Source organism: Homo sapiens, chromosome 1 (genome assembly GCF_000001405.40).
Source record: "Homo sapiens chromosome 1, GRCh38.p14 Primary Assembly".
Classification (NCBI taxonomy): domain Eukaryota; kingdom Metazoa; phylum Chordata; class Mammalia; order Primates; family Hominidae; genus Homo; species Homo sapiens.
The window spans coordinates 170827501-170836441 of NC_000001.11; the positions used below are offsets into that span (position 1 = coordinate 170827501).

Genomic DNA, 8941 nt, shown 5'->3' on the forward strand with positions numbered 1-8941 from the left:
TCCTCTGGGGAAGTATGCATAGCATGACATATGAACCTGAAATGGCCTGTAGGTTTTACTTCGCTAAGGAGTGACATATACTTGTATGATATTTTTTTTGCATCTTCTCTGCCTGTGACCGTAATAAGAAACTACCTGAGAGTATGAGAACATTCTGGGTCCTAAATAGATCCTGGATATCATTCAGTCTAACAGCTTCATTTTACTGAGATCTGGCTCACTACTTCTGGAACAATAGCTGATAAAGTCAATGGAGAAAGAATTCTTTAGAGTTTCTGATGTTGCTCCTATAGGAATATAATTTACTCTGTGCAGGACTGGAGTGAGGAAGGAGGAGAGGCAGTCGATTTTTTGGAATGCCTCAATCAGTAATAAAGAGAGGCTATTGTGGGAGGGATAGGGTAATGTTGCGAGAAGGAGGAAGACAAAGAGACACAGTGGTTTCTGTATAGTACAAGTGGTTAAGGGCATGGGTTCCATGCACATGAAGGTGCACTTGGGTTTGAATTCTAGTCCTCCATTTGGTAACTGTGTATCTGTATTAGTTAGGCTACAGACATGGCTTCTATAACAAAGGGATTCAAAAAATCAGTGCCTTAAACAAGTTAGAAATTAGTTTATATAACATGTAAAACTCTGGGTGAGGTGGTTTGGGCTGTTAATTCCAGATAGATGGTCCAGAGCTGTTATGGAAGCTCCACCAGTATTAGGAATGCAGGACCTTTTTTTCAAACAGCCTTTCCACCCTCAATATGTTTCCAACTCTTGCTCCAAGAAGGCTTGCTCCAGTTCACATTATCATGTCTGCATTCTAGACAGTGGACATGAGAAGGAAGGGAAGGCTTATCTCTACCACTAAGGGGCATAATCAAGAAGTTGTATTAATCATTTCTGGTCATAGCCCTTCAACCAGCACTTGATCACATGGCTCTCTTTTGCTGAAATGGAGTCTGAGAAGTAAAGCCTTAGCTGGATAGCAACCAGGTAAAATGTATATTGCCATAGACACTGAAATAAGTCCAGGAGAGATGTGCCTATGCCACAAAGATGTAGGCAAGTTACTTAACTCCATACATTAGTTTTTCCATATGTAAAATGAGAATAACAATACTTCCTACCCATATCAGATATGATTGTGCTCTGTTGTTAGTTATACAGAACCTGACAAAGCATAGCTATAAAGCAAGGTTTCTGAACTTCAGCACTATGGACATTTTGAACCAGATAATTCCTTGTTGTGAGGGGCTGTCCTGTGCGTTGTGAAATGTTTAGCATCATTCTTGGCCTCTGCTCACTAAATGCCAGTAGTACTCCCCTCGTTGTACAAACTGAAAATGTCTCATAGAAATGTATCTTTGGGGGAAAATAGTCCCTGGCTGTGTACTACTCCTATACAGAAAAGGGGTTTGAGTTGTTTTTGCCTCCACTTAAGATATCTGAAGAAAAGCAATCCAGGGCAGTATGGTCACTTAAAGATGATTCAGTGATGATTTAAGGAGGAAGACTCTCCATTTCTCTGCCCTACCATTCTTGGCACATGGCTTTTGTCCATAGAGTTGTTGCTTATCACGGTCTGACTCCAATCTGGTTTTCTATCTTAGAGAACTGGCATAGCCCCACTCAAATGCTCAGAAGAGCAGGAAGTCTTTTGCGTTTGTACTCCCATCATGTAGTGCAGTGCCTTGCATTAATATGTATTTGTGCAGTGCAAAAAGTTATAATCTGAAAGTGGTATTTGTGGGCCTGTATCAATCAGGATTATTAGTTACAAAGGAAAAACAAGTCATCCCTTGTAAATATTAAAGGAGATAGGACACTCACAGAGACTTGGGAGAGCTGAAGAGCCAAACTAGGAACATAACAGCCCAGCCAGGAACCATGCCCAACCATGCTACAGGTGTTTTAGCAAAGCAGTGCTGCTGCCACCTCTCAACACCACTGCTATAGTGTCTATCCACGATGAACAATGGAATGCTAGAAGGTCTTCTCTTGCTAGCCACAAAGAAGCAGATGCCACCATCTGTGTGACCACCAAGGTGCTCGATTTCTCATGCATACTCTTTCTGGCATTGCTTACTATGATTGTTAATTTTATATGTCAACTTCACTGGGTTACGAGTGCTCCAACATTTGGTGGAATATTATTCTGGGAATGTCTGTGAGGGTTTTCTAGATGGGATTAACATTTGAATTGGTAGACTGACTAAAGGAGATCCTCTTCCCCATTGTGGCTGGGCCTCATCCCATCAGGTAAAGGCCTGAATAGAGCAAAACTCTTACCCTCTCTGGAGTAAGGAGGAATTCATCCTACCTCCTGCCTGACTGCTTTTGACCTGAGACATAGGTTTTTTTTTGTTGTTGCTGTTTGTTTGTTTTTTCTGCTTTCCCACTCACCTGAAATATTGGCTCTTTGTGGGTCTTGAGCCAGCCAGCATTTAGACTGAAACCATATCATCAGCTCTCCTGGGTGTCCAGTTTGCTGACTGCAGATTTTGGAACTTGTCAGTCTCCATAATTACATGAGCCAATTCCCCCTTTTTTTTTTTTGAGATGGAGTCTCGTTCTGTTGCCCAGGCTGGAGTGCAGCAGCATGACCTTGGCTCACTGCAACTTTCACCTCCCAGGTTCAAGCAATTCTCCCACCTCAGCCTGCCAAGTAGCTGGGATTCCAGGTGCATGCCACCATGACCAGCTAATTTTTGTATTTTTAGTAGAGACAGGGTTTCACCACATTGGCCAGGCTGGTCTTGAACTCCTGAACTCAAGTGGTCTGCTAGCCTTGGCCTCCCAAAGTGCTGGGATTATAGGCATGAGACACCGTGCCCTGCTGCCAATTCCTTATAATAAATCTTGGTCTCATTTTAAAAATATATATTTTATATATATATGTATGTATATATACACAATGTACTATTCCTTATGTTTCTCTGAAAAACTCTGACTAATACACTTACCAAATTAAAATCTCAAATGAATATGTCTGAGTGATGATCCAGGTCACATGTCTACAGCCTAGCTGCAAGTGAACTGAGAAAATGAATGTTCTGACATCTTCCTGTGAAAGGCAAGATGAACACGGCGGAGAACTACTAAAATACAGGGATGGTGTCAAGATGTCGGAGGCTACAAATGACAAATGCTTTTCTCATAATTGGCCTTGTTCCTTAGAAGAAAACATACGTAGAGACACATTGAATGTGGCCCCCTCATTATCCTGAATGTCACCTTTGTGAGAAAAGGAAGGAGTCAAAGAGAATTCCTCTTCCCTCCCTATAGCTGGAAGCAGAACTTGTCTTTGCCATCAGTTCCTTTTCATTTTATCTGAGCCACACCCTGGTGCCCCTGTGTTGCCTTCTCCTTCTCTCTCCCTTCCTCCCTCCATCCTTTCTTTTCTTCTTTCTTCATTTTCTTTTATATAGTTTTTTGTTTTTACTTCAGGTGCATTGATGCATACAAACATAAAAACATCTGTTGGCTGAGTGTGGTGGCTCATGACTGTAATCCCAGCAGTTTGGGAAGCTGAGGTAAGCAGATCACTTGAGCCCAGGCGTTCAAGATCAGCCTGGGTAACATGGTAAAACCCCATCTCTACAAAAAGTACAAAAATTAGCCGGGCCTGGTGGCAGGCACCTATAGTCAAGCTACTTGGGAAACTGAGGTGAAAGGAACACTTGAGCCTGGAAGGTGGAGGTTGCAGTGAGCCAAGATTGTGCGACTGCCCTCCAGTCTGGGCCATACAGTAAGACTGTCTAAAAAAAAAAAAAATTCATTGATTTTCTCAGTTCATGGCACTTTACCATCTTGAGTCCATTCATACGTCTTTTCTTGTTTTACTTATTGTTTGTTTATTCATACCTTTAAAATGTTTTGATTTTATCTTATTGAATTTTTTTTCCAGGCTGGGTGTGGTGGTGCACACCTGTAATCACACCTGTAATCAGGCACATGCCTGAGGTCAGGAGGTCGCGACCAGTCTGACTAACATGGTGAAACCCCGTCTCTACTAAATACAAAAAAATTAGCCCGGCATGGTGGCGCATACCTGTAATCCTAACTACCTGGGAGGCTGAGACAGGAGCATCACGTGTACCTGGGAGTGGAGGTTGCAGTGAGCAGAGAGAGTGCCACTGCACTTCAGCCTGGGCAACAAGAACAAAACTCCATCTCAAAAAAAAATTTTTTTTTCCAATACTTTCATGGGTACACATGGTTTTTGGCTACACAGATAAATTATATAGTGGTGAAGTCTGGGCTTTTAATGTACCCATCACCTGAACAGTGTAGATTGTACACAACAGGTAGCTTTTCATCCCTTAGCCCTCTCCCACCCTCCCCACTTCTGAAACTCCAATTTCCATTATACCACTCTGTATGCCATTGCATACCCATAGCTTAGCTTCCACTTAAAAGCCACGTGTGGTGTTTGGTTTTCTGTTTCTGATTTACTTCACTTAGGATAATGGCCTCCAGTTCCATCCAAGTTGCTGTAAAAGACATGATTTCACTTTTTTTTGGCTGAGTAATATTCCATGGTATATAGACATCATATTTTCTTTATCCACTCATTTGTTGATGGGCACTTAAGTTGTTTCCATAACTTTGCAATTATGAATTGTGCTGCAATAAACATGCATGAGAAGGTGTCTTTTTTTATATAATGACTTCTTTTCCTTTGGGTAGATACCCAGTAGTGGGATTGCTAGATTAAATGGTAGATCTACTTTTAGCTTTTTGAGAAATCTCCATACCATCTCTCTTAGTGGTTATACTAATTTACATTCCCACCAGCAGTGTATGAGTGAGCCCTTTTCACTGCATCCACACTTAAATTCCTATATCCCACTCTATGTTCTATGTTCTCTCTACACATAGACAAACATTCTCAGGTGGGTGTATAACAGTTTTAATATGTTCTTGCAAAATATATATTGTGTACTTATCATGACATGTGATATGATTTTGCTGTGTCTTCACCCAAATCTCATCTTGAATTCCCACATGTTGTGGAAGGTACCTGGTTGGAGGTAATAGAATCATGGGAGCTGGTCTTTCCTGTGCTGTTCTCATGCTAGTGAATAAGTCTCACAAGATTTGATGGTTTTAAAAATGAGTTTCCCTGCAAAAGCTCTCTTTCTGTCTGCCGCCATCCACATAAGATGTGACTTGCCTCTCCTTGCCTTGAACCATGATTGTGAAGCTTCCCCCACCACATGGAACCTCTTTCCTTTGTAAATTGTCCAGTCTCAGGTATGTCTTTATTAGCAGTGTGAAAATGAACTAATATAGTAAATTGGTACCAGTAGAGGGGGATGCTGCTGAAAAGATAACTGAAAATGTGGAAGCAACTGGAACTGGGTAACAGGCAGAGGTTAGAACAGTTTGGAAGGCTCAGAAGACAGGAAAATGTGAGAAAGTTTGGAACTCTTTAGAGACTTGTTGACAAAAATGCTGATAATGATATGGACAATGAAATCCAGGCTGAGGTGGTCTCAGATGGAGATGAGGAATTTGTTGGAGATTGGAGCAAAGGTGACTCTTGTTATGTTTTAGCAAAGAGACTGGTGGCATTTTGCCCCTGTCCTAGAGATTTGTGGAACTTTGAACTTAAGAGAGATGATTTAGGGTATGTGGTGGAAGAAATTTCTAAGCAGCAAAGCATTCCACTTGGGTGCTGATAAAGGCATTCAGTTTTGTAAGAGAAGCAGAGTATAAAACCTCAGACAGTTTGCAGCCTGATGATGTGATAGAAAAGAAAATCCCATTTTCTGAGGAGAAAGTCAAGCGGCTGCAGAAATTTGCATAAATAATGAGGAGCTGAATGTTATTCCCCAAGACAATGGGGAAAATGTCTCCAGGGCATGTCAGATGTCTTCATGGAAGCCCCTCCCATCACAGGCCTGGAGACGTAGGAGGCAAAAACGGTTTTGTGGACTGGGCCGAGGGTCCCTGTGCTGTGTGCAGCCTAGGGACTTGGTGCCCTGTGTCCTAGCCACTCCAGTTGTGGCTGAAAGTGGCCAATGTAAAACTCAGACCATGGCTTCAGAGAGTGTAAGTCCCAAGCCTTGGCAGCTTCCATGTGGTGTTGAGCCTGCGAGTACATAGAAATCAAGAACTGGGGTTTGCGAGCCTCTGCCTAGATTTCAGAGGATGCATGAAAATACCCGGATGCCTAGGCAGAAGTTTGCTGCAGGGGCAGTGTCCTCATGGAGAACCTCCACTAGGGCAGTGTGGAAGGGAAATGTGGGATCAGAATCCCCACACAGAGTCCATACTGGGGCACTGCCTAGTGGAGCTGTGAGAAGAGGGCCACCATCTTCCAGACCTCAGAATGGTAGATCCACCAACAGCTTGCACCATGCACCTGGAAAAGCTGCAGACACTCAATGCCAGTCCATGAAAGCAGCTAGTCATGCTTAGACATATATGATTCACCAAGCATAATCTGATTAGTCATGATTATGAGGGAGGTTTTACCCTGCAAATCCACAGGGGCAAAGCTACCCAAGACCACGGGAATGCACCACTTAAATCAGCATGACCCCGATGTGAGATGCGGAGTCAAAGATCATTTTGCAGCTTTAAGATTTGACTGCCCCACTGGATTTCAGACTTGAATTGGGCCTGTAGCCCCTTAGTTTTGCACAATATCTCCCATTTGGAATGGCTGTATTTACCCAATGCCTGTGTCCCCATTGTATCTATGAAGTAACTAACTTGCTTTTGATTTTACAGGCTCATAGGTGGAAGGGACTTGCCTTATCTCAGATGAGACTTTGGACTGTGGAATCTTGAGTTAATGCTGAAATAAGACTTTGGGGGACTGTTGGGAAGACACGATTGGTTTTGAAATGGTAGGACATGATACTTGGGAGGGGCCGGGGTGGAATGATATGATTTGACTGTGTCCCCACACAAATCTCATCTTGAATTCCCACGTGTTGTGGGAGGGACCCAGTGGGAGGTAATTGAATCATGGGGCCAGGTCTTTCCTGTGCTGTTCTCGTGATAGTGAATAAGTCTCATGAGATCCAATGGCTTTAAAAAGAGGAGTTTCCCTGCAAAACTCTTCCTCTTTGCCTGCCACCATCCACGTAAGATGTGACTTGCTCCTCCTTGCCTTCCACCATGATTGAGGCCTCCCCAACCACATGGAACTGTGAGTCCAATTATATCTCTTTCTTCTATAAATTGCTTAGTCTCAGGTATGTCTTTATCAGCAGCATGAAAATGGACTAACATAGCATGCATTTTAAGTGGTATTGGGATCTTTTTTAAAATTATACTTTAAGTTTTGGGATACATGTGCAGAACATGCAGGTTTGTTACATAGGTGTACACACGCCATGGTGGTTTGCTGCACCCACCAACCCATCACCTACATTAGGTATTTTTCCTAATGCTATCCCTCCCCTAGCCCCCCACCCCCTGACAGGCCCCAGTGTGTGATGTTCCCCTCCCTGTATCCATGTGCTCTCATTGTTCAACTCCCACTTATGAGTGAGAATATACAGTGTCTGGTTTTCTGTTCCTGTGTTAGTTTGCTAAGAATGATGGTTTCCAGCTTCATCCATGTCCCTGCAAAGGATGGCTGCATAGTAGTCCATGGTGTATATGTGCCACATTTTCTTTATCCAGTCTATCATTGATGGGCATTTGGGTTGGTTTCAAGTCTTTGCTATTGTGAACAGTGCTGCAATAAACATACATGTGCATGTGTCTTTATAGTAGAATGATTTATAATCCTTTGGGTATATACCCAGTAATGGTATTGCTGGGTCAAATGGTATTTCTGGTTCTAGATCCTTGAGGAATCACCATACAGTCTCCCACAATGGTTGAACTAATTTACACTCCTACCAACAGTGTAAAAGCATTCCTATTTCTCCACATCCTCTCCAGCATCTGTTGTTTACTGACTTTTTAATGATCACCATTCTAACTGGCGTGAGATGGTATCTCATTGTGGTTTTGATTTTCATTTCTCTAATGACCGGTGATGATGAGCTTTTTTTCATGTGTTTGTTGGCCGCATAATTGTCTTATTTTGAGAAGTGTCTTTTCATATCATTTGCCAGCTTTTTGACTAGAAAATCTAGAAGAAATGGATAAATTCCTGGACACATACACCCTTGCAAGACTAAACCAGGAAGAAGTCTAATCCCTGAACAGACCAATAACAATTCTGAAATTGAGGCACCAATTAATAGTCTACCAACCCAAAAAAGCCCAGGACCAGTTGGATTCACAGGCGAATTCTACCAGAGGTACAAATAGGAGCTGGTACCATTCCTTCTGAGACTATTCCAAACAGTAGAAAAAGAGGGACTCCACCCTAACTAATTTTATGATGGATCATTTTTGTATTACATGTTGTTTCCCCTTTCTTTTCATTAAGTAATGTATATCTGTTGAAGTTGCTTTCTATTCATCTACTTGGTTACTTCTAACTGCTGCATGATTTTCATTCAGCACATTTTTCTAACCATTGTCCTGAAATGGACACCTACAGTGCTTCAAACTTCTCATCATCAAACACCCACCATCATGAATACACAGAATTGAACATCTTCAGTATGCCCTCTTATTGACCTGAGTGAGTAGTCTTTGGTAAATATGGCTAGACAGAATTGCCAGGTCCCGGGGGTACAGATGGGTGACTTATGCATATAGTGTCAGTTTGCTGTCCAGAATAGCTGCAGCAGTTGACTTTGTTATGTGTTCATTGTAGTATTGAGGGTTCCTATATCCCCTCATTCTCTCTAATATTTGGCATTCCAACCCTTTCCCAACCCATTTTTCTTTTGCCAGTCAAATACATAAAAGTAATAGCTCACTAATCTAGCCTGTGTTCTCTGATGAGTCATGATTCTAAGTAGCTTGTTCATGTGCTTGTTAGTCCTTTGGGGTTCCACTTCTGTCAAATGTTTTTATACCTTTTAGT

General features: G+C 42.2%; 1 annotated feature.

The window, feature by feature from the left end:
* Positions 6617–7816: an enhancer, noted in NCBI's record as "BRD4-independent group 4 enhancer chr1:170803258-170804457 (GRCh37/hg19 assembly coordinates)". NCBI's record gives its function as "activates an origin of replication core promoter dependent on BRD2, P300/CBP, MED14 and CDK7 cofactors, and independent of BRD4, by STARR-seq in HCT116 cells {active_cell/tissue: HCT116}" and the evidence as "EXISTENCE:reporter gene assay evidence [ECO:0000049][PMID:35650434]".